General features: G+C 42.5%; 2 long non-coding RNA genes across 3 annotated transcripts in view, besides 1 other annotated feature; one reads left to right on the forward strand and one right to left on the reverse strand.

Annotated features, from left to right (window-relative positions):
• Positions 6,122–6,622: an enhancer, noted in NCBI's record as "H3K4me1 hESC enhancer chr2:105190634-105191134 (GRCh37/hg19 assembly coordinates)". NCBI's record gives its function as "activates a minimal SCP1, AML or CMV promoter by ChIP-STARR-seq in naive H9 embryonic stem cells {active_cell/tissue: H9 hESC(naive)}" and the evidence as "EXISTENCE:reporter gene assay evidence [ECO:0000049][PMID:30033119]".
• LOC105373524 (uncharacterized) lies at positions 12,435–13,922 on the reverse strand. The gene is made up of 2 exons (NR_188369.1): positions 13,768–13,922; positions 12,435–13,134 (listed from the first exon to the last, which is right to left on the reverse strand). It is a non-coding gene; the product is annotated as an uncharacterized LOC105373524 (long non-coding RNA).
• A 1,118-nt stretch (positions 13,923–15,040) lies between these two features.
• Positions 15,041–25,882, forward strand: part of LOC105373525 (uncharacterized) — a 38,670-nt gene continuing 27,828 nt past the window's right edge. Inside the window, exons 1-2 of one of the 2 annotated variants that reach the window (NR_188368.1) lie at positions 15,041–15,269; positions 17,022–17,153. This is a non-coding gene — a long non-coding RNA (uncharacterized LOC105373525). Of the gene's footprint in view, positions 15,270–17,021; positions 17,304–25,882 lie in introns of those variants that run through there. The other variant, NR_188367.1, reaches the window with a different exon arrangement.

The raw sequence follows: 25,882 nt of genomic DNA on the forward strand, positions 1-25,882 counted from the left end.
AGCTGCCATTTGTGCCCCACTTCACAGTGTCCTAGAAACCCGAGCAAGCCCCACGGTCAAGCCCTGAGGCAACGTGGAGGCAACATAGCCTCTGACTCTTGGTGGGAAGAGGGGCGAAGGGTTCTCGGCCATACCCAAGGCCCTGCTTTTGCTCAGGATGATGCCTCATAAAAGACAGAATTTTGTCTTTTCTCCACCTACATCATCCTTGGTTCTTTTCTTTCATACCACAACCACCTTCCAAATGCCAGGAATGTTTTCATATGCTAGCATGATTCCCTTGCTGGGTGTTAGACACTGCGCTGTACCCTATTAATAGGCGTGACTACCATGCTATTGCTATTCTCATCTTTCAGACTTAAGAAAGCTATGGAACTTGCCCATGATTAAGGCTGCAAAGGAGTGGAGCAGGATTACAAGCTGAGCAGTCTGTGGCTCCCACGCCTGTCCCAGCCAACACTGCAGTCTCTGCAACCAGTTTTATATCTCACAAGGGTCAGACTGAGCTTGGTAAATGACCCTCTGCCTAAGAGCCCATCTGCCATGCAACAGCGCTGAGTGTGGGCCCTGGAACTCAGAACAACTGTGGCTGTGCAGACCTGCCAGGAGTCAGGTATGAAGCCAGTCTCCTCTCATGACTGACTGTTGGGCCCAGAACTGGACAATCCAACAGCCTGGAAGTTCTTCTCTTCAAGCAAGTTGAGTCAGCCCAGGTGCTCAGAGGGGGAGCTAATGGATGTGAGCTAACCATGAAATTGTGCCAATCTATTAGGTTGGTGCAAAAGTAATTGTGGCTTTTGCCATTACTTTTGATTGCAAAAACCGCAATTACTTTTGCACCAACCTAATAGTGTGGCATAATTTCATGGTTAGCTTATGTCCATTAGTTCCCCTTCCCCCCAGAAACCTGACCCAAAAGCCAGAACGAAGTTAAAGTGGTGAAGGCAAATGTTATCCAGGATCATTGCAACAGGGGAAAAGAGACCCCACTATAGAAATGGGCTCCATTCTGAATACAGCAGGGAGAAGGGATTTATATAGCCAAGGAGCAGGAGTCAGAAGATGGAAAAACACTAATAGAAAATGGCACCAAGTCTGGGGAGAATACTGACTGAACAGACCTGACAGGATTCCTGCTGAAGGCAGGCCAAGGTGATCAGACAGCAAAACTGCGCAGTGAAAAATTTTAATCAGGTGTCAAAGGTGGGGGATTCTTGTTAAAATGACTTATCAAGATTCTTGCTGAAACTGGATTTTACATGGAAGAGCACCGATGGGTATTTACAGTCTGCCTAAAGTTTGGGTACGCAAAGAATCTTTGTTACTAGTTCTCTTTCAGAGAATCAGAAGTCCAAGTAAGCTTAATTAACTAGTTATAACTAGCCCTTCCTTGTTCTGGACTCTCTCAGTTTCAGCCATGAAAGTCCTCCTGGGGAACCACTCAGTCCTGGGCAAACTGGAATAGTTGGTCACCTGGTTACTAGACTGATCTGCTCTCTGCCTACGAGTCTCAGAAAACATTTGGTCCCTGAACAACTAATGGAATGAGAAAAGACTTCCTTGACCGATTTTGTTCACCACTCTGACGTCTGAGTCCAGTATGGAGCTTGGCACCAAGTGAGAGATCATAAAACACCTGTTGAGGACAGGGCCCGGTGGCTCATGCCTGTAATCCCAGCACTTTGGGAGGCCGAGGTGTGTGGATCACGAGGTCAGGAGTTCAAGACCAGCCTGACCAACATGGTGAAACCCCGTCTCTACTAAAAATACAAAAATTAGCTGGGCATGGTGGCGTGCACCTCTATTCCCAGCTACTCAGGAGGCTGAGACAGGGCAATTGCTTGAACCAAGGAGGCAGAGGTTGCAGTGTGCCGAGATCGCACCACTGCACTCCAGCCTGGGCAACGGAGGGAGACTCCGTGTCAAAAAAAAAAAAATTGTTGAATAAATAAGCATGCATAAATGAATCTAGTTCAGAAGAGGTGGCCCTGATTCCTACCTCCCAAGTGGGTGGGCAAAGCTACGGAAGCCCAGAAATACCAGAAATATGGCCCAGGGTTCGCCCCTAGTGTACACTGAGGAGATATATGCCCTTCTGGTTGTTTCTAAAACAAGAAGGACCCGACAAAGTGACTGATATAAAAGACTCCTGAATGTCTAATTCAAATAACTCAAGTTTTACTTACATAAACAGTGTCTCCTAAAATCTTGTATAATCCTCTTGAAGTTATGGTTAGTAAAATTCTTACTCAACATTTTCATGAAGGAAGAAAAAAATCATGTTTTATGTGACCCAATTGCTTTAACTTAGACTTTGTGAATTATTACACATCAGGGAAGGAACTAAACAAGCAGCTATTTTAGTCTCAACTAAAGCTCTGAGTAAATCAAAAGAGATTCATAAAGGCGAAGGGCAGTGCTTTGGACTACATGTTTATGTTTCCCCAAAACTCACATGTGAAACTCTAACCCTTAAGAGGGTGGTATTAGGAGGGAGATACTTTGGGGAGTGATTAGGCCATGAGGCAGGCACAATGAAGTGGAGCAAACTTGCATTTGAATTCTGACTTGGACTCCTTCTAGCGGTGTGACATTGGGCATAGCATTTGAGACTAAGCCTTTTGTTTCCTCGCATACAAAATAGACATAGCACTGCCTGTCTTTTGGAATTGTGGTAAATATTCAACATGATACCATATCCTAGTGAGCCTAAGGATAGTTGTGGAATAATTATCCGTAAGCCCACATTCACTCTCAAAGTTTTCCTGGTTTGCATGAAATACTATACACTCACCCAATACTGAAAGTACTTAGCTTCAGGCCTCACACACAGCGATGAAGTACCACAGCTTAATATACTAACCTTTTCCTAAACTTTGCATTAATTTTTTAAATGTATACATTTTGAAATTATTCTAGCATAGTGCCAAAAAAATGATATCACAAAAAAGTTCAAGAATATGCCATGTTGTCATGCCACTTGGGCACCAGAGCCTGTAAAATAAAATGTCATTTTGGAAAAGGAAAGCACCCATAATGCCGTCTTCATTTGTGTGGTAATGATGGAATACTAACACCTACACTGGGCTTTCTATGTGCCAGGAGCTGTTCAAAGTGCTTTACACTTATTAACACTTCCTAGTTCTCACGCAACTCTCTATGGGAGGCACTTGAATCGTCATCATTTTATGGAAAGGGAAACTGAGGCATGTAGGTCATCCATGTCAGCAGCAGAGCTAATACTGGAACATCATCAGTCTGACTCCGAAGTCTGTGCTTTTGACTCTGCTGAATATGTTAACAAGGAAACTCTTACCCCATTTGTTATAACATTTCTTATCTGTCAAGGGCTGGGAAACCAGGTAAAATAAGGCACCCTTCAACAAACGAAAAGTGCTTCTATGGAGCTCAGACTTTGCAACACCGTTTTGACCCCTGGGGGTCTCTTTTTGTTGTTTCTTTCCAAGTACTCAACTGTGTTCTGAGAGAGTGAGGTTCTGGATAGGTAGTGTGATTGGCTGGAAGAAAGGATTAACTTTCCCTTTTAAAAAATCAACATATTTTACCCAAGGGAGGATTGAGAATATCCTACCTCTCCATAAGGCTGATCATTTCTCTAATAACTACCTGGGTTTTTTTTTTTTTCCAATCACACCTAGAGAAGACATGAGCTCCACTCTAAGATAATAGGAATGGCTCAGATTCTACTCATTAATATAATGATTCCATAACACAATGACAGATAAAAGAACTCTTTTTTTATTCTACTCAAGGCTGGTTTTACATAAAAATAGACCATAACTCAGAGTCTGTAATGTCTATGAAAAGGTTATACTCGTTACCATCCAAATAGGCTGAGCTAATAAAAATTATATTTGTTACAATCCAAATAGATTAACCGGCCTTAAGGGCTTAGCTATGTATTACACTTTTCAATTTTCTTATAATTAAATTAACATAAAATAGTCTTCACAAATAAATGGCTGTTTCAGAAATAGTTAAGCTCTGTTTAACAAAAATAGCCATTCTATTTACATGTGCAGCCACTCAGGTAGACCTGGGAATTGGAAGAGGCTCTTCTCTGTGGAGTGGACTCATGATCAAAAGATTAATAGACAGATCCCCTCTCACATGTCCTGCTGATGCCTCAGGCACCCCCAGAAGACGGCCCAAGGACAAATCCAGGCTCCTCTTGCATTGTCCTCTGGACTGAGGGCCTCCTGGACCAACCGCCTACTCTTCCCTGGGTGCTCCCAGCCATGCGCCACAGGGTGGAGCCTCAACTGGCTCACCTGTTAAATGGGAGACCTATGGCAGGTCTCCTCAGTCCTAGTGCTCCGATTCCTGCCAGCCTCGAAGCTCATGAATAAAGGTTCTGCTGAAATTTTCTCAGCTCATCCCCCCTTTCCTTCTCCCGAAGCCTGGTCTCTGGGTATTTGCCTTCCAGCTGGAAATCCTGTTGAAATATTGCTTCTGTTTGTAAAACTCAAGATTCAAAATGTTGATGTTTTTGTTGAGGTGCCATTTTGTAATTCTGTCCCAGAAGCACGCTGAACATTAAATAAACGACGACTTAAGTCTCTCAGCTGAAGTCTTGAACAAAAGAGTTGATGCCCTTAGTTTAATTCCTTAAATGTCATCATGCTCAAAAAACTAATTAATTTTGCCGATCAGCCTTTTGTTTTTTTCTATAGATGTCTTAAGGAATGGAAAGAAGTGGAACAAGTTATGTATCTGTTGCCATTTGAAACAATCAGAAGCTTGAGTTTCCTCAGTTCTTAAAGTCAAGAGGGAGAAAACTCACAAGGAAGAGATGGGAGCTTATGCTGCCTGTGAGCTCAGATGTCAGGCATGGGGCTGGGTGCTGTGTTGAACAACTTTAATTGCTTCATCTCATTTAATCTACTTATCATCCTGAGAATTAGGGAAACTTACTCAATTTCGAAAGGGGGAAGTAAAGGTCACAGAGCCAGTGTGAGTCAGAACAAGTTGTACAAACGCAGAAGCAAGGAGACAGATTGGTAGAGGTGAAAAGCCCAGTGCATGGAGAAGCCCGGTCAGAGTATTACTGAAACCAGAAGCAGAGTGTCCGTCCATGATCTCATCATATACAGGGGTTATGCAGATAGCCTGAGCTTCACAATATGGTCAGTTCCCATCAATCTTGAGTGTTCTTCTTTGAGCTCAGTGACTCGACTTTATCAACAGTAAAATGTAGTCTAATTGAGCTATGTGATAATATAATGTAAACCCTCACATGAGCAGCCCTTTGTTTATCATTGTGATTATTTCCTTGGAAGTAAATAGAACTTAGAAGATATCTTGATTGACAGATGGCAGCTCCATCAATCTCTGCGAGCCCTTAGCAGCTGCCCACCTTTTGGGCAATCTAGTCTTTCCTCCTTGGCATCTCCACAAAAGGATGAGCAAGAAAAATAGAGATGAGGCTCAAAGGAGCCCATTTTGCTGCATGTCACCAGCTTTTGTCGAAGCTATGATAAGGGAGGAGGTCAAAAGTAATGGTGCAATAAAATGCCTAAATTATCTGGGGATCACTCATTTATGGCGCCCCTATTCCTCATCATCATGGATGAACAAGACCTGGATGCACATTTAACAAGATTAAAATGCTTTCATTCAAAGTGTTCCTGTGAAGCAAGTAGGTGAGAAACATTGCAATTTGCATTTGGTAGCTTTTCCCCTCTCTTGGTGTAGACAGTAGTAAAGTTATTCATCTTTACCTCCCAAGTGCGTAGCACAGAGTAGATGCTCAACAAATGTTGTTTTGAAAGCACAGGTTTGGGATGTTGTGCACAGGTTCTCAATGTTGGCTGCACATTGCTGTCCCCCAGGGAGCTTTCCTTGGAGATCCCCAGGAGACCATAACATGCACCAAAGTTGGAGAACGATGAGAATTATCTGTGTTGCTGGAGGGCAGCTGTGACAGAGTGTCATGGCACAACAGCAGGGTCACAGGCCTGTTACCCTTTCCCAGTCAGATAAGAATCAGGAAACAGCACCCAACTGACAAGGCAGCTAGCTAGTGGGTGAGTTAAAAAACAAAACACCTGGGACACTGAGACAAGAAAAGGGAGTGAGATGAAAATTCTTTCAGAGGCTGAAGGCCAAGTTTTGTGCTATTTCTGATGGACCTCAACACCCTCAGCATAAAACAGGTGCCTCTTAAATGACAAGATTGGCCTCACCCTGGAGCATTGGAATGGATAAGTAGAAAGTGCATGGGCTTTAAACACCAAGCTGTACTCCAATTCCATCCCCACTCTGCAAGCCTCATGGCCTCAATGGGCTCATCTTTGAGATGGGATCTCTCAGAGTTGTGGTGAGGTGGACTGAGGGGTCAGTCTGCATGAGGAATGGACACACAGTGGGCACCTGATACATGCAATTTTACATTTACATACAAGCAAGTACATGTGTGTGCACATACACACACATGCGTGCACACACACACGTGCACGCGTGCACACACGCACACACACACGTGTCCTTCCCAAGCTTGTGCTGGCAAAAAAAACCTCAAGAGACCATTTTGGCAGAAGTCATCCTTGCCAAAACTGCTTCCTTTTTCTACACATAAACCAGTGTAAAAATGTCTCTTGCAGGGTCTCGGGGGAAATAGTTGGGAAGGAGCTGCTGCTGTGATGCCTGACAAAATCAGCCTCCTCACTGCCATCCTCACACTTCTTGGCTCCTGCTGGTCCCAGCACATACCCCCAGGGCACTGGGACAGCAAAGCCCCTGGGAGTCCACTCTGAGCAGCTCCAGCCACGCCTGGTAGGAGCCCTGCCTTCCCACCACCCACTTTCCCTCTCTGCTTTTCTTCCACTCGCTTGCCTGTGTGGTCCTTTCAGCCCATGCGGGGCTGACAGACAGGTCCCTGGCCTAAAGCATATCAGTTCATCCCACTGATCAAAAGCTAAATGACTCGTGCCTCCCTGGGCACTTTCTTTTTTGACTTTTTTTCCTTTGGAGCCTGTGTTTAACTGATTCAGTAATTCTCCATTTCACCAGAGAGCAAGTTGTCTGGGGAATTCAGCATCAGTCTCCTCATTCCCAGAGCTGAAATCGATGTGTCCACCCTGTCCTATTATAAATGCACGACGTTCCTCGTGAGAATTACTGTGTGCCATAGACCCGCTCTTCACATGAAATTAGGCCACGCTTAAAACAAACAGCGTCGCAGACAGCGTGGGAGGAAAACAGTGGCCTACATATTAAGAAACTCTCGGAGCCTTCAATTTGAGATCTAAGCAGGATGAAATCCCTCCCCACACACCTGTGACATTTATCCTACGAATACTTGGTAAAAATCGATTGTCAGAGTTAAAAAGGGCCCTTGGGATGACCTAGCCCAGGGATTATTAAGTAGGGACGGACATCAAAATCACCTGAGGAGGTTTTTCAACCTGAGCAAGAGATTCTGATTCACTAATTCGAGTTGGATTTTAACGGAATTAAAATGTTGCCAGTGGATGCTGTATTTTGCATTCACTATTTGGGTGGGTGGCGGAAGGAGGTTATTTTTATCATTGTCATTTTCTGCAAAGGGAAAAAGCACAAATTGTTCATGAATGATGGTTGCTCCTTTCACTTTTATTTTGTCATATGAATTCCCTGCACCCTCACAATCTTCGATTAAGTAAAGGAGCCAGAAAGTGGAAGAATGGTGGGCGATCATATAGGAACAAAGGAAAGCCAACGAAGTTGAAATATTTGATCTTTTTCCCCAGGTCTTTGATAGAGGCCCTGTAACATTTCCTCTCCTGCCGCTTCAATGGCTCATTCATGTCATTTCTTTGCTTCATTTGCCTTTCTCATCTTATAGATTTTTCCCCTTTACGGACTGCTTTTGGTCCCATTTCCCTCTCACCTTCCCATTCCCCTACTCAAATCCACCTGGATAAAAATGAAAATAACTACTGTATGTCAGACACTTGGTATTTCATGATGCAGGTCAAGGACCCACCCTTCAGGAAACTCAAAAAGGTGGCTTTGTCCTGAGGTCCTATCCAGGCCACTCCCTGTACAAAGTATAGTTTGGTGATTCTCAAACTTCTGCAAACCTAAAAAAAAAGTCACCTTGGATAGCTTGTAGAAATGCAGACCCCCAGGCTTCACTGGACAGAATTTGATTCAGTGAGTATAAGGTGGGTGCCCAAAGGTTCAAAGAACACAGAACACAAAGGGATTATAATGCAGGTAGCCCAAGGAATAGATATCAAAGAAGGCTGGTGTGGTCCCAGAGCCCTCAGGTTCCTGTTTGCAACCTTAGTACCAAAAGCTCAACCACCAGCTCTGAACTCTCGATGTCTGCTTTGGTCCAGTGAGGATTCCCGTCACACCCACCTCACGGGGCCAGGATACCGACTAGATGAGAACATCGTATAAAGCACCCACACAAGGCCTGGCCTGCACAGGCAGTCGCTTTATTATCATCTCAGCTGTTCTACACGCATTTTCAAAAATCAAGCAATTGCTTCTGATGAGTGTGATTTCAAGAGAAAATAAAACTCTAAGAAATTAAACTTTTGCCTTAACCTCAATGTTCTTCCATGAAGCGCCAGACCTGAAACTCGGGAACTTTAATGAGGGAAACGGTTTCCTTTGACCACTTCCTACTTCCAACATCACTTTTCTCTGTCAACTCTTCCATGTGGGCAAGATTCGTCTTTGTTAAAGACAATAATACATTTGCATTTGGCCTTTAGTTCTAATCTTCTTCATCATGTAAGGAATAAAGTCCAAGAAATGACCTCAGTTCATGTGACTAAGCTCCATTCCCCACCCCCCACCACCTGTCTTCTTCCCAGATGCATTTCCCCTTGTGCTCAATACCCAGCTCAAATGTCTTGTGCAGATATTATCTGTAGCTCTTTTCCCCACAGTTTTATATAACTTTGGGTTCCTTTGTGTTTTTCCCACATTTTCTAGTCTTTTTTTTTTTTTTTTTTTTTTTGTCAATGTACATATCCATCTCATCCCCTGGACCTAGGATACTCTCTCTATACTCTCTGGACAGGAAACACATCCTCAGGAGCCCTCAACCCCCAGCTTCTGACCCACAGCATGATGGGCATTAGACCCTCAGTGATGTGTAAACAGGACCTGAACTTCTGACTCCTTAGGATCAGAAGTGAGAAATGAAAAAAGTACTGGGGAATTACCTAACATTTGGATGAGGGCACCTGATATATAAAGCAAAAACAAAACAACTCTTCTTTCATGGTTTTAGCCACATCTCCTCCCACTTCAGTCAATGCTTCAGTTGCAATGCTTAATTACAAATGCATGCTTGACTCCCCCCATAGTTACAGTACAGACTGAGAAGAATCTAGCTCTTCAATGACTCAGGAAATGAAAGGTAGAAACAACCTCCCCAGATGTAGCTAGGCCTAATGTGTCCCTGTTTTTTTTTGTGTGTGTGTGTGTGTTTTTTTTTTGAGATGGAGTCTTACTCTGTCGCCCCGGCTGGAGTACAATGGCACAATCTCGGCTCACTGCAACCTCTGCCTCCCGGGTTCAAGTGGTTTTCCTGCCTCAGCCTCCTAAGTAGCTAGGACTACAGGCACCCACCACCACACCCAGCTAGTTTTTGGATTTTTAGTAGAGACAGGGTTTTACCGTATTGGCCAGGCTGGTCTCGAACTCCTGACCTCAGGTGATCCACCAGCCTCGGCCTCCCAAAGTACTGGCATTACAGGCGTAAGCAACCTTGCCTGGCCTATGTCCCTGCTATACACAATTTCAGGGCCCAGGATATTGCTTAGCACACCATGGGTACCCAATAGATATTTATAAAATGAATAACCATGCATATTTGTCATTTTATTAGTATCCTTCCAAGCCACAGTCATTGGTTACATGGTGTTGTTTGGGAATTTTTGCAATATGGGGGGCAATTGATTTATGCGAAATTTTATATATTGATTCCAAATATAAATAACTTGCATTTGTGGTTTATTTAACTCTTGAACATTATATTTGTTTCCTGGGGCTGCCATAAAGAATTGCCACAAGCTGAGTGGTCTAAAACAACAGAAATGTATTCTGCATGGTTCTGGAAGCTGGAAGGCTGAAATTAAAATGCAGGTGGGACCATGCTCTCTCTGAGGTCTCTAGGAAAGAATACTTCCTGGATGCTTCTAGCTTCTGGTAGTTGCCAGCAATCCCCAGTGGCTGGCTTGTAGATGCAGCACTTCAATCTATGTCTCCATCTTCACGTGGCCTTCTCTCCTGTGTGTCTGTGTCCAAATTTCCTTCTTCTTAGAACACCAGTCATATTGGAATAGGGCACACCATGGGCCCTACAGGAAGTAGGGCCCCGCCCTTATGATCCCATTTAACTTGAATTACCTCCTAAAATCCTTGTCTCCAAATACACCTCTTCTTAGCTTGATTATATCTACAAGACCCTATTTCCCAATAAGGTCATATTCACAGGTTCCCAGTGAACATGAACTTTGAGGGACACTGTAACACTATTCAACCCAGTACAGACATCTTCTTGACCTGAGAACTGTGAATGTGTAGTACACTGAAATTTTCCTCAGCCAGTTCTTTTATGGGGGAAAAGCAGTTTTATATTTCCCAAAAGCCTTGACCTTAACAGTTAATTGGAGGAAGGTGTTAGGGTGGGAGATGAATGTGATGACCATTCAAGAGTGTGTCCATCTGCACTGGGAGGAGGGTCTCATCACAGAGAGAAGACCCTTGAGTCATGGAGCTAAGACAGTCAGGGAAAGGGACAGGATAGAAAGGGTTAGGTCTCTACACCCTGGTGACCCCCTTTAAAATTTCAGAGTTGGAAGGTGTCTTCGTTAGCTTGAGTTGCCATAACAAAATACCATGGGCCACGTGGCTTAAATAATGAAAACTTATTTTCTCAACAGTTCTGAGGGCTGGAAGGACAAGATGAGGGTTCCAGAATGGTCATTTCTGGTGAGGCTCCTCTCCTTTTCCACAGATGGCCCACTTTGTGCTGTGTCCTCACATGGCCTTTGCTCTGTGAGTGCCCATCCCTGGTACCTCTCTTCTTATAGGTACACTAGTCCTATAGGATTAGGGCCCTGCCCTTCTGATCCCATTTAACCTGAATTACCTCCTAAAAGCCCTGTCTCCAAATACAGTCACAATGGGGGTTAGGACTTCAACATATGAGTTTTGGGAGGATGCAATTCAGTCATAGCAGACAGAACCTTGGAAGTCATTGCAGATGAGGACCGTTCTGCCAGGTGCAGAGATTTGATAAAGGTCTCTCTGGTTGGAAAGGGTCTCATGTTCCTGATGCTCCTCCACTCTGCTAGAGCCTCAGGTTGAGTCTTTTGACTTTCCCTTTTGCTTTACTTTTCCCAAAACACAGAAAAATAAATAAATATCTCTTAAATAAGCAAACATAGATGGCAACCCCTTCATTTTGACTTATGTCTAAAGACAATATATAGGAGTTTGAGCTATAGTCTCCTTTGAGGCAGAAACCAAACAATATGCATAACCCATGTTGGATTCCCCATGAACCCAGCACTGGTCTTACACAGAGTAGGCATGCATAAGTACAGATACTAGTAATATTAATAACAAAATTGTATTTAGTACTTATACTAAGTGCTTTACATATATTAAGTCATTTAATCCTCACTATAATTTCATAGATAGGTTCTAGTATAAGTGGCATTTTGCAGATAAAAAAATCAAGGAGGCTGGGCATGGTGGCTCACGCCTGTAATCCCAGCATTTTAGGAGGCTGAGATGGGCAGATCACGAGGTCAGGAGATGGAGACCATCCTGGCTAACACGGTGAAACCCTGTATCTGCTAAAAATACAAAAAAAAAAAAAATTAGCCAGGCGTGGTGGCGGATGCCTGTAGTCCCAGCTACTCGGGAAGCTGAGGCAGGAGAATGGTATGAACCCGGGAGGTGGAGCTTGCAGTGAGCCGAGATCACGCCACTGCACTCCAGCCTGGGCGACACAGCAAGACTCCGTCTCAAAAAAAAATAAAAAATAAAAAATAAATCAAAGCACAGGGAAGTTTATTAATTTATTTGTTTCATTAATGTATACATGAGAGAATGGATCAAGACATTTAAAGACTGCTCTAAGCTCTATGCTTCAACACTGCATAGCCATATCATTTATTTTATTTACAATATTTGGATATAGATTTTTTATGTATTTAGGAGTTGTTATTGTTTGATTATTGTTGTTAAAGGTAAGAGAATACCAGGCAAATCACACTAATAATAAAGTCACTAACTATAAGTATTCAACTCTTTATATCAGTGTATTTATATCATTACCCAATATACATACTTTTACTAAAACAAGTTTCCCAAAAATAATACTTAGCCTTACTATATACAGTAATGTACTCTGCTATTTTCTCTTGTATTCTATTTTGGTCTATTTAGTTTATCTATTGAAGTTTTTAATGCAGATCATGACCAACCAAGTAGAGATTTCAAGAGCCACAATCCAGTCACAGTCAGCTGTTTGAAAAACAACACTACTATGTATATACAGCATCTATGTATTACATATATAGCATCTATATTATATATTTATATACATATTACATTTTTCTCAACAACATACACATGCATATATACACCTAATAATTAGAATTTTCTTTTTCCCTCAGCTGCTGAAATTCAGGAGTATAAAGATGTTATAATATGTGTACATTTTAAAGCTTTCAGAATGTTTAAAAAAATGTTTTGTTGTTACCCTAAAGTAAAAGGGACTAACATATTTCAGAGGTTTAGGCTTTGGGAAGTCATTTAATTTTTCCCCAGTCTTCTCTCACAGTATGTTTCCTTTTGTTGTATGTGACTTTCCTAATAGGAACATATTTTATAGTTAAACAATTCAGGTCAGGCATCAGATTGTGTCTCCATTTAAGTTCTAAATTGCATCAGACGCCAAAATGCCTCCTAAGATTCTGGTGGTGAATCGAGTTTCTGTGAATGTTCAGAACTGCAGGAAACCCTGTTTTCTTAACATGAAATCTATTACATAAGGAACTTCTGCAGAGGGTAAGATCCAAAGCTGAAAAAGTGATGCGGTTTGATACATTGTCAGAAGCAATAGTGCGACATGGAAGATTTGATCTTCCAATGCTGTGGAGAAAAGAATAAATAAAGGAATAAATTAAGATGTGTCTTGGAATGGTGTGCTCAGGAAGGAGATATATTAACAGGCAGGTATAGAACAGTAATAGCCTAGGAAGAGCTAATATATTAAAAAGGATGATAAAGAGATAGGTTTGAAGCATTCCCTATTTATATATTATTTTTAAATATGCCAAAGAAAAGGAACCAGTGCACACCTAGTTGAACTGAAATGTTGTTTCCTGAAAATACTCAGATCTTATTTAGAGGAGTATATGTTTTATGAAGACCAGAGGCATACAAGTAAGCATATCACCACAGAATTTAAAAGTTGTGAGAGCTCCTTTTTAAAGAGTCCCATTGATATCAGTTTCCTTTCCCTCAAAAAAATGTTAGTTCCATTGCTCTTCTTTCTTCCTAAAGCAAGTTACAGTCGTCTTTGGATGAGCCATGCCGAGAGAGGGTTCTACCAGCACTGGCTCATCCAACACTTTATTTGTATGCAGCACTGAGTCCACTTTATCAGAGCAGTGCTCCTAAAGCTGGCAAATTTGTGTGCTCCTTTCCCTGAGGATCTTCCTGGAAGCCTGGGGTAAGTCAGGGAGGGGCCGACAAAAGTCGCTAATACTGCAAATAGATCACCTGTTTGTGGTTCATCAAGACTTTAGTCCATTGATTCTCAAACTTGAACAGGCATCAGAAACACCTGGAGGGACTGTGAAACCTCAGACTGTTGAGCCCATCTCCAGGGTTCTGATTCAGTGGGTCTGGGGTGGGGCCAGAGACTTTGCATATTCAACAATTACCAGGTGCTGCCTGCTGTGTTCTGGAACACACTTTGAGAATCAATGCTCTGGTCCCATTCTGTGGAGTTAGGACCTTAAAGTTAATATCAAATTAAGGTGTAGAGCCTCCCTGATTTCTTTAGAGACACCAGCTACAAACTGGTGATCAAATTGACTGAAGGCCAAAGATCACAAATGAAAATGATCAGCAAATAAGTACAAAAGGCAACTATTATAATCGCAAAAATGCCGTGAGTTTCTCAAGGTTGTATCTTTCAAGAAAGGAAGGGAAAAGAAAGTTGTATGAGACGTAATGACCATACAAGTAAATGGTGCGGACCGCATTCTCCCTTTTTTAATAAATAGCTGACGTATCCTCATGTCACCAAAGAGCAAGAGAGGTGGCACATGGATCACACAAGCAACCTGTAATTTATCTGCAGCTAAAAATAAAGATTTCAGAGTACAAACGCTGTGAAACACAGGAGATGTTAAAATAGAAAGAGAGAGAGAGATAAGGAGAGAAAAAACGAGAGAAAGAAAGAAAAGTTGAGCAGGGTAATTGAGAGAAACAGTCCTCTGGCGAAGACAGCCCTGTCTCTCTGAAATAGTTTATCAACTGATTCGGGGGCAGGAGGCTGACTGCAGCAAGCCTAAACGTGATTCCATTTCCCACAATGCCACAGGGTGGTTCACACAGAACAAAGCTCCGCTTCTTTACCTAAGAGTGCCAGGTAAGCCGTCGGAAACAGCCACCGTCAGTGGGAGGAAAGCAGATTGCTTTAAGAGAAAAAGGCTTTATTAAAATTCAAAGAAAAAAATAAGCTGAGATGATTTAGAAAGCATTTATTGAACAAACACTGCTAAAGACATTTCAGCAAACTGTGTGTTTAAAAAGTAATAAATAGCTATTGTGCTTACTTCATAAACTTGTCAGACTGTCTTCATTATATTTTCCTGAACAAACTGAATTTCTGTACTGCTCATCCCCAGCCAGTTAATAAATACATCACCCTAAAAAGTGCTGTGGTATTAAATTTACAGCAGATAAAATATGGATGAAGTTGCTGTGCCTCAGGTACGTCAAGTGTGATTTAATATCTCACACTCCTCTTATGAGGAGTAAAAGATTATTCGGCTGCTTCAACTGCCGGAGAGCGAGGTGACCTTTGCCCCCAAGTAACAGCCACTCAGCAAATAGCACCAAATGAAGACGGAGAATAACATATAGATTTGCCGTAAGAAAAAATTGATCTAAATCCATATATCAAATCTGCTGATCAGAGCTCTAGAGAAATGCTTCACAATCCTTAGCAAGCACTTGCAGGAAGTTTGGGCAGAAAGAAGACCTTCCTGAAGGTATATAGGATATTTTGTTTTTTCAATTTTTTACTTTGTTACTATTATCCTTATTGGTCTTTCATATCATTGGAATAAAATCTCCTTAGAATAAAGTGCTCTTTGACTTAATGTCTTAGTGGTGAGTATTTTCTTCTCTCTGGAGAAAGTATAACCTCTTTGAGCATTTCAGAGATCCGGAGAATCTTATAAATGAAGGCGTTGTTCCCCAGCGAAATTTCTCAACAATCTGATTTAATTTATATCTTTTTTAAAAGTTCCATCTAAAATGATAAAAAAAAAAATCTCCAAGGAAAACGTTTGTTAGCACAGAAAATAAATTCTTATGATTAACATTCTACCATCCAAAAAGGCTGGTGACTGAGAGAGTTCTCTACACTTCAAAGGTAGGAGAGGAATGAGTTTTAAAACAAGGGTAAAAAAAAAGCAAATTGCTGCTGAGCTATTTTTATTTCAAATATATAAAAGTAGAGTTGGTAAGTGCCATGTATAAATCTTCAAAGTGCGGATTGCCAAGGGTCTTCCTCCAAAGACTGCTGTGAAAAAATAAACTTCGGCAATTAAAGCGGCTTTTTCCTTTCGCCATGAAGTGAGGGAAGTGGCCGGGTGTCCCAGGGGCTCCTGGTATCCTCTGTGTTCCCAGGCAGTGGTGAGCCTTTGCTAATTTCAAAAATCTCTTCAGCTCTGGGCCTTCGCAAATAAAAGCTTCTGTCACCTCCCCTAAAATGTGACTGCTCCACGGTTTGAGGTTTTGTGTTTGTTTATTTGTTTTTCACTGGGCACTTTTGTTCTCAGTTGGTAATTGGTTTTACTGAGCCAGAGGGGGCTGGGGACAAGGCTGTTTATTTCAACTTCCTTCAATGGTGAATAGTGAGGCACTGGCACTAGCAGATAGGTTCACACAAACGCTATGATTCTTAACATATATGAATTTGGAGGGAAATAGTCCAAAATCAGGTGAGAGAGGGGATTGAGTAGGGTGGTTTGGTGGTGGGGGTGGGGGGGGGGCGGCGGGGAGGGGGAGGTGTGTGTTTGTGTTTGTGTGCAAGAGCCTATTTATAATAGAAGATTTCCTACCACAAATGAACATTCTCTTGAAAGCAGATGTGCTGGACAGGCCTGCACCCCCTTCCTAGACTGGCCCAGATGTCACTGAGTTCAACGGCTGTTCATCTCTGCACCTTTCCAAATAAGCGCTTTCCCCATTCCAGCTATACAATGGATTGGTCAAGGCAGGGTGACATTTCTTGAGTGACAGATGTGTCTACTGCTGTGGCAGCACCAGCCCGCCCACTTGCTGGCAATCTCTGGTTCCAGGAGGAGCAGTACTATTTCCTTTGTTTGCCTCTGTGGGGAGAGGTGAACAGGGCTGGCTGAGGGTAGGGGTTTGAGAGAAACCGCTGGGAAGAGAGGAAAAGAGAGACCACCTCCTTATGCCAGGGATTATTTTCTTTTTAAAATACATATGTGCACATTGTGAACATAGAAGAATTTACGCCAACTGGCAAGGATCTAGAAGTTGTGCAGGGCTGGGAAAGTTTTAAAGGCGTGCAACTTCAAATCCCATGACAGAAAGCCTCCTCACGTCAGTCTTTCCCAAATTGACCAGACAGGGAAGGAAAATTGCATTGGGACCACCGAGGAAAGGAAAATGATGTCCTGATTTCTAAATATCATAATAGATTCCAAAGGCTAATTTCTCTTTTCAAGCTGCTATTTTATTTTTATTTTTTGTTTCCCTCCTGTCCCCAGCTTATATTAATAAATCATCTTGTCAACTGTTTCTCAATGTGGAATGTGTTCCTCAAAAATCTGCTGAGAAATCAGATCCCCAGGGATTTACGTGCACCTTGCGCTGTGATGATCAGCAAGAGCCCCGCCTGAGTAGGTCCTGAAGGGAGTCTCTTCAATTAAGAGTCTTCCTTTTTCTTTTCATATAAGTTGAATAGATCTACATGTGAGCAATATTGACTGAGGTTCTGCACTGTATTTGCAAAACTAGCTTTGCGGGGAATAAACTTGACTAACTGGAAATGATCCCATGGTAATTAATTAGCATTTCAAAACCACAGTGGCCATTTATTTTCTAATTTTTTAAAAAGCTAACAATATCATTAATTATTCCTTTTATGAGTCTTGATAATGGCTGTTTACTGGCAATACATTAATATTACACTATCAGGGACATAACACTCCCGCATATCATAGCACTGTTGCTTTCAACAGGCCACAACATCGATCTCTGCAGTTCTATCCTGAGAAACCCGATTACAGGTGTCACACAAAATCTTGCAACTCCTGGTGCTTCAAGTCAGAGGCATCACTTTTGATTTTTGCCTACCTCTCCTCTGCTAAGGCCCTTCCCTGGAATGTGCCCTCTTGGCATCAACCTGTAACCGATAAGTCACGATCTCAGCACTTAACGTTTCTAATCCAAAAACCTACTCCAGTCCTACTGTCAAATGAAGTTGCAACTAATCGTTTATTGTTTAAAGTTTTGCTTTGTTTTTAATTCAACTTAAAACCCAGGTCACATGCTGGTGTATTTTTCAGTAGATTTTATTTTTTAGAACAGAACTTTAGAGCCTTCCTGGTACATTTTTAATATTGTCTTTTGATTTGTTTTATTTGTCATTCAATCAATGTCACTGAATATATTTAGAAATTATAGGCCGGGCGTGGTGGCTCACGCCTGTAATCCCAGCACTTTGGGAGGCCGAGGCAGGTGGATCACGAGGTCAGGAGATTGAGACCATCCTGGCTAACACAGTGAAACCCCGTCTCTACTAAAAATACAAAAAATTAGCTGGGAGTGGTGGCGGGAGCCTGTAGTCCCAGCTACTTGGGAGGCTGAGGCAGGAGAATGGCGTGAACCTGGGATGGGGAGCTTGCAGTGAGCTGAGATCGTGCCACTGCACTCCAGCCTGGGTGACAGAGCGAGACTCTGTCTCAAAAAAAAAAAAAAAAAAAGAAAAGAAAAGAAATTATAAACCATGGCTTTTGAGCTTTATGGATGAGAATTTGCAGTCCTGAAACAATGATGAAGGAAAAATATCATTTAGAATTGTAATGATGCTATGACTAAAAAAAAATATATATGAAAAGCTAAAGAATAGAACAGACATAGAAATAAAGATCCTTAGAATTTACAAAGAAACTACATTATTCAATGTTGTCCTTAGGGAAAAAAAAGCCTTATAGGTAAAATTAGTGGATGAAAAGGAAAAAATAGTTTTTGAGTATTTACTATATGTCTACACACATCTAGTGGCCCCTCTAAAATGTTGTACCAAATAATACCCTTCAGATCCATTTAGGAGAGAACACCCACTTTCACAAATATGAAAAATGCTGATTATTCTCATTATTTTAAATTTGTGATAAATTATATCATGCTTTAAGTTGTAATTAACTGATTTCTGATGTTTGAAGTTTTTTGCATGTATTTTTCTCTAGTGACCTTCTTCATGACTTTATTTGTCTGTTAGGATATTCATTTTTTTTCTTATTGATGTAGAAAAGCTGCTTTATATTTAAGAATGAATGTTAACTTTTGTCATTTAATTACAAGAATGTTCTCCAAGTTTGTTATTTGCCTTCTATTTTTGAATTAATTTTGCTTTGTTAGTTGTTATTGTAATATAGAAACTAGGGGTGGGAGTTGCTTAATTTTTGTATATTATAGTATGGTAGAATGTATTAGACTTTCCTTTACACTTTCTGTCTCTAGTGTAATTCAATGTAGGCTCTCCCATCCACTTCAACATTATATATTCACCTTGTATTAGTCAGGGTTCTCTAGAGGGACAGAACTAATGGAATACATATATAATCCCAGCACTTTGGGAGGCCGAGATGGGTGGATCACGAGGTAATGAGATCGAGAACATCCTGGCTAACACCAGAGTGAAACCCCGTCTCTACTAAAAATAACAAAGAAATTAGCCGGGCATGGTAGTGGGCACCTGTAGTCCCAGCTACTCGGGAGGCTGAGGCAGGAGAATGGCATGAACCCAGGAGGCGGAGCTTGCAGTGAGCCAAGATTGCACCACTGCATTCCAGCCTGGGCGACAGAGCAAGACTCCATCTCAAAAAGTAATAATAATAAACATATATTTTATATATATATATGTGTGTGTGTGTATATATATGTGTGTGTGTGTGTGTGTGTGTGTGTATATATATATATATATATATATATATATATATATATATATATGGGAGTTTATTAAGTATCAACTCACACGATTATAAGGTCCCACAATAGGCTGTCTGCAGGCTGCAGGCTGAGGAGCAAGGAGAACCAGTCTGAGTTTCAAAACTGAAGAACGTGGAGTCTGATGTTCAAGGGCAGGAAGCATCCAGCACGGGAGAAAGATGTAGCCTGGGAGGCTAGGCTAGTCTCTCTTTTCACGCTTTTCTGCCTGCTTTTATTCTAGCTGCACTGGCAGTTGATTAGGTGGTGCCCACCCAGATTACGGGTGGGTCTGCCTTTCCCAGCCCACTGACTCAAATGTTAATCTCCTTTGGCAACACTCTCACAGACACATCCAGGATCAATACTTTGTATCCTTCAATCCAATCAAGTTGACACCCAGTATTAACCATCACAAGCCCACCCCTTGTCAACTTGAACCCATATACATCTCCTGAGATCATACATAATCTTCAAATAAAGACAATAATAAGGTCATAACATAACATAATACAGCTATGCTTTGTACAACCAGAAACGTACCAATCCCCAACCCAAATATTACTACATAAAGTTAACAATACTTAAATGCTGATGTGAACTCAATAAATTTTGTATCATATGATAAAGAAGAAAGTAAATAAAATAGTTTCTTAGTCCAAGTGTATATATGCACAAACGTTTTTAACAAAAGAAGGAAGAAATACTCCTGACAATTACAGTCCTCATTTCTGCACCTGGTCATGTGGTCGTAGCTGTTATTGATGACTACCTTCTTCTACCCATTCTGTATTCCCTTTGACTTCAGCAAGCACCTCAGCATGTCATGTTTTTTTCCTGGTGGAGTGACCCAAACCTTCATTCCTGAGGGGTCTGGGTCATTCATAGTCCTGCTGGATTGAGCTGTTGTAGTTCCCCATTGACCTTAATCACAGGGCATGGTAATACTAAGAGACGCCCTAATGGATCTCCTGTATTCCATGCATACTCTTCCTTACGTCTGTTGTGGAGTAGTAGACTGGTTTCATCTTGATAGTTGGGTTGATCACCCCAACCATTACTGTAACTCCCTTCTTAGCCTGTTGACTTAAAGGTAGGAGGAACCCAAAACATCCAGGTGGCAATCTTATCTTCCAGTTTAATGGAATCGTTGTTGTGTCTCCTGGTAGCAATATTCCTCCCTCTGGAACTAAGACATCTAGGCCAGCAGATCGTAATGTTGTGGGAACAGAAAGCAAAATTTTGCTAGTGGATCACTAGGGGTGATGGTGAGTGGTGCCACTTCCACGTCCACCCCTTGATTCCTGGACCTGTGAATCCTGGCTATGGGAGAAACAGTACCATATATTGGACACTGATTCAGAGCATACATGGCATTCTGGAGAACTTTGCCCCAGCCCTGCAAAGTATTGTCACCTAGTTGACATTGAAATTGTGACTTCAAAAGGATATTCCACTGTTCTATCAATCCAGCTGCTTCAGGATGATGGAGAACATGGTAAGACCACTGAATTCCATGAGCATGAGCCCACTGCTGCACTTCTTTAGCCATAAAGTGAATGCCTTGGTCAGAGACAATGCTGTGTGGAATACCATGACCATGGATAAGGCATTCCATGAGTCCACAGATGGTAGTCTTGGCAGAAGCATTGCATGCAGGATACGCAAACCCGTACCTGGAGTAAGTATCTATTCCAGTGAGGACAAGTGTCTGCCCTTTCCATGATGGAGGAGGTCCAATATAATCAACCTGCCACCAGGTAGCTGGCTGATCACCCCGAGAAATGGTGCCATACCGAGGGATCAGTGTTGGTCTGGCAAACTGAACACTCAGCAGTGGTTGTAACCAGGTCAGCCTTAATGAGCGCAAGTCCATGTTGCTGAGCCCATACGTAACTTCCATCCCTGCTACCATGGTCACTTTGTTCATGGGCCCACTGGGGGATGACAGGGGTGGCTGGGAAAAGAGGCTGAGTGGTGTCCACAGAATGGGTCATCCTATCCACTTGATTATTAAAATCCTCCCCTGCTGAAGTCACCCATTGGTGAGCACTCACATGGGATACAAATATCTTCACAGTTTTTGACCTCTCAGAGAGGCCCATCCACATACCTCTTCCCCAGATTTCTTTGTCACCAACTTTCCAGTCATGCTTCTTCCAAGTCCCTGACCACCCAGCCAAACCACTGGCTACAGCCCATGAATCAATACATAATCGCTCATCTGGCACCATTTCTCCTTTCATGCAAAGTGCACAACCAGGTGCACTGCGAGAAGTTCTGCCCACTGGAAAGATTTCCCTTCCCCACTGCCCTTCAGGGATGTCCTAGAAAGGGGCAGTAGTGTTGCAGCTGTCCACTTTCGGGTGTTGCCTGCATATCGTACAGAACCATCTCTGAACCAGGCCCTAGCCTTCTCTTCCTCTGTCAACTGATCATACAGAACTACCGTTGAGGACATCAGTGCAGGCTGGGGGAGAGAAGGCAGGGTGGCAGGAGTGGAGACCATGGGCATCTGAGCCATTTCCTCATGTAGCTTACTTGTGCCTTCAGGACCTGCTGGAGCCTGATCACATGCATACCACCTCCATTTGGTGATGGAATGCTGCTGTGCATGACCCACTTTATGGCTAGATGGATCAGAAAGCACCCAGTTCATGATAAACAGTTCAGGTCGCATGATGACTTGATGATCCATAGTCAAATGTTCAGTTTTCACTAAAGCCCAGTAACAGGCCAAGAGCTGTCTCTCAAAAGGAGAGTAGTTATCTGCAGAAGATGGCAGGGCCTTTCTCCAAAATCCTAGAGGCCCATGCTGTGACTCACCTATGGGAGCCTGCCAAAGGCTCCAAACAGCATCCCTATCTGCCACTGACACCTCAAGCACCATTGGATCTGCTGGGTCATATGGCCCACGTGGCAGAGCAGCTTGCACAGCAGTCTGGACCTGTTGCAGAGCCTTCTCCTGATCTGGACCCCACTCAAAACTGGCAGTCTTTCAGGTCACTTGATAAATGGGCTGGAGCAACACACACCCAGATGAGGAATGTGCTGCCTCCAAAATCCAAATAGGCCCACCAGGCGTTGTGCCTCTTTCTTGGTCGTAGGAGGGGCCAAATGCAGCAACTGATTCTTCGCCTTAGAAGTAATATCTCAACAGGCCCCACACCACTGGATGCCTAGAAATTTTCCTGAGGTAGAAGGTCCCTGAATTTTAGTTGGATTTATTTCCTATCCTCTGGCATGCAAATGTCTCACCAATAAGTCCAGTGTGTCTGCTACTTCTTGCTCACTGGATCCAATCAGCATAATGTCATCAATGTAATAAACCAGTGTGATATTTTGTGGAAGCGAAAAGCTATCAAGTCCTCTCCGAATAAGATTATGACACAAAGCCAGAGAGGTGATATACCCCTGAGGTAGGACAGTAAAGGTATATTGCTGGCCTTACCAGCCGATGGCAAATCCCTTCTGGTGGGCCTTATGGACAGGAATGGAGAAAAAGGCATTTGCCAAGTCAATGGCTGCATAGCAGGTACCAGGAGATGCGTTAATTTGCTGAAGCAATGAAACCACATCTGGTACAGCAGCTGCAATTGGAGTCACCACTTGGTTAACCTTACAATAATCCACTGTCATTCTCCAAGATCCATCTATCTTCTACACAGGCCAAATGGGAGATTTGAATGGGGATATGGTGGGAATCACCACCCCTGCATCTTTCAAGACCTTGATGGTGGCACTAATCGCTGTAATCCCTCCAGGGATGCAATACTGTTTTTGATTTACTATTTTTCTAGGTAGAGGCAGCTCTAATGGCTTCCTTTTGGCCTTTCTCACCATAATAGCCCTCTACCTACCAGTCAGGGAGCCGATGTGGGGGTTCTGCCAGCTGCTAAGTATGTCTATGCCAATTATGCATTCTGGCATTGAGGAAATGACCACAGGATGAGTCCAGGGACACACTGGACCCACTGTAAGTCAGATCTGAGCTTAAACTCCATTAATTACCTCACCTCCATAAGCTCCTACTTTAACTGGAGGACCACAATGATGTTTTGGGTTCCCCGGAATCAATGACAACTCAGAGTTAGTATCCAGTAGTCCAAGAAATGTCTGATCATTTCCCTTTCCCCAGTGCACAGATACCCTGGTAAAAGGCCAGAGGTCTCCTTGGGGAAGGATGGGAGAAAAATTAAATGCATGAATTGTGGGTAATGTAGTGGGGTTCTTCCTCAAGGGGACCTGGCCTCCCCTTCATTCAAGGGATTCTAGCTCAAGTCTGGAAATTGATTGAGGGGCTGTGATTCTGTGTCATTATAATTTGAATTAGTCTTTTGTCCATTCAACCTAGAAGTTTTCTGCTTGTATAAATTAAGTAGGATTGCAGTAGACTTCTTATTGATTTTAATTCTAAGAACACCGTGATTAATTAGCCAATGCCAGAGTTCTACATGAGTCAGACTATTATGATTATTCTGATTGCTGCTTTGCCTCTGCTATCCATTATGGTAGCTATGCCCATCTTGCCTTTAATGGTTGAGTGCCACCACTTGGCCCCTGCCACCTCAAGATCCAATTATTCCCATTGTATTTAAATTGTATAGTTGAGTGACTGTGGTTCCTACTGTTAGATCTAACATACAGAGAAGAGCAATTACAGGGCTCTTCAAAGATGCAGGTTCTGCCCTTGCAAATCTATTTTGCAAGGCATTGGGATGAGTAGATCTAAAGTTACTAAACCACTCCACCATCCCAATTTCCCTAAGGCTTTGGATCCCTTCCTCTACATTAAACCAAGGGAGATCAGGCATTTCCAGCTCCCTCACGGTGGGCCATAATTTAATCCATATTTCAGCTAACCAAGCAAATTAACTATTAGAGCCTTTTTTAACTCCCCACACTGCAACATTAAATGCAGAGTCCCTACTTAGTGGGCCCAAATCAATAAATTCAGCCTGATCCAACTATATGTTCCTTCCACCATTATCCCAGATCTGTAACATCTATTCCCATGACTGTTCTCCAGATTTCTGTTCATATAAATTAGAAAACTCAAGCAGTTCTTTTCAAGTGTAGCACACCTCCTCATGGATCATACTCTCAATCTCACCTCTAGGGGCCCACCAGGACTTTAGCCTAGTTATAGGTCTAGAAGCAAACACGGGTGTTGTGGGTGGCTCCTGAGGAGAATCAACATTATCTTGCCTGACAACTGTCTCAGGGAGGCCATCATTGTTGCCTCAGGCAGCACAGGGTTTATCTCCTCAGACAAAGTTGTAAAGGCTGATGGCAGCATGGTTCGGGGAGGGGACGTTGCCAGTACTGGAGTTGGGGAAGCTGCTCCTTCTGGCAAAAAGAGTTCATCAGAGTTTACAAACTCAGTGTCCCTAGCTTCATCAGGGTCCTCCCACACATCTGCATTGCAAGTTGCGGGGTCTCATTCTTTTCCAATCAATGCCCTCACTTTAACAGTAGACACCTGGCAAGGCTGTGCATGAACCTTTTGTTGCAGGTTAGCCACTCACATGATAAGAGCTTCTGTCTGTTTTTCCACAATTTCAGTTCTTTCTCTATAGGAGATAAAACTCTCACTCAGGGCAATCTTAGCAGATTTGAGGCTTAGTATCTGCTTCTGAAGCCGGAAGATAGAATTCCTGAGTTCATCATTTTCTGTCATCACTTTGTCCACTGAACTTAGGAACAACCAACCAGCTTCATTATGTTCCTTGGTTCTCCACATATGGTCAAAGGTATTATGTATAGAGTCACTAAACTCCTTGCCTCTCATGAGTGATGAATCAGGAGTGTCAAATGCATTTATTTTGCATAAGTCTCTGAACAGTTCATGCCAAGGACTCTCAGTGTTCTCCATACTGTTAGAAGTAAGAGTCCTTAGCATTTAGGGGTCTAATTATATTAAGTAGTCAACTCCAGAAACCCCAAAACCAACAAAAGAACTCCATCTTTAATATTCTGTTCCTCTAGAACCACTCCTGGTACCAAAATCTGTATTAGTCAGGGTTCTCTAGAGAGATAGAATTAATGGAATATGTATACATACACACATACATACATAAAGGAGAGTTTATTAAGTACCAACTCTCATGATCACAAGGTCCCACAGTAGGCCATCTGCAGGCTGAGAAGCAAGGAGAGCCAGTCCAATTCCAAAACTGAAGAACTTGGAGTCCAATGTTCAAGAGCAAGAAGCATCCTGCACGGGAGAAAGATGTAGGCTGGGAGGCTAGGCCAGTCTCTCTTTTCACATTTTTCTGCCTGCTTTTATTCTAGCTGCATTGGCAGATGATTAGATGGTGCCCACCCAGGTTAAGGGTCAGTCTGCCTTTCCCAGCCCACTGACTCAAATGTTAATCTCCTTTGGCAACACCCTCACAGACACATCCAGGATCAATAC

This window comes from Homo sapiens, chromosome 2, assembly GCF_000001405.40.
Source record: "Homo sapiens chromosome 2, GRCh38.p14 Primary Assembly".
NCBI classification, from domain to species: Eukaryota; Metazoa; Chordata; class Mammalia; order Primates; family Hominidae; genus Homo; species Homo sapiens.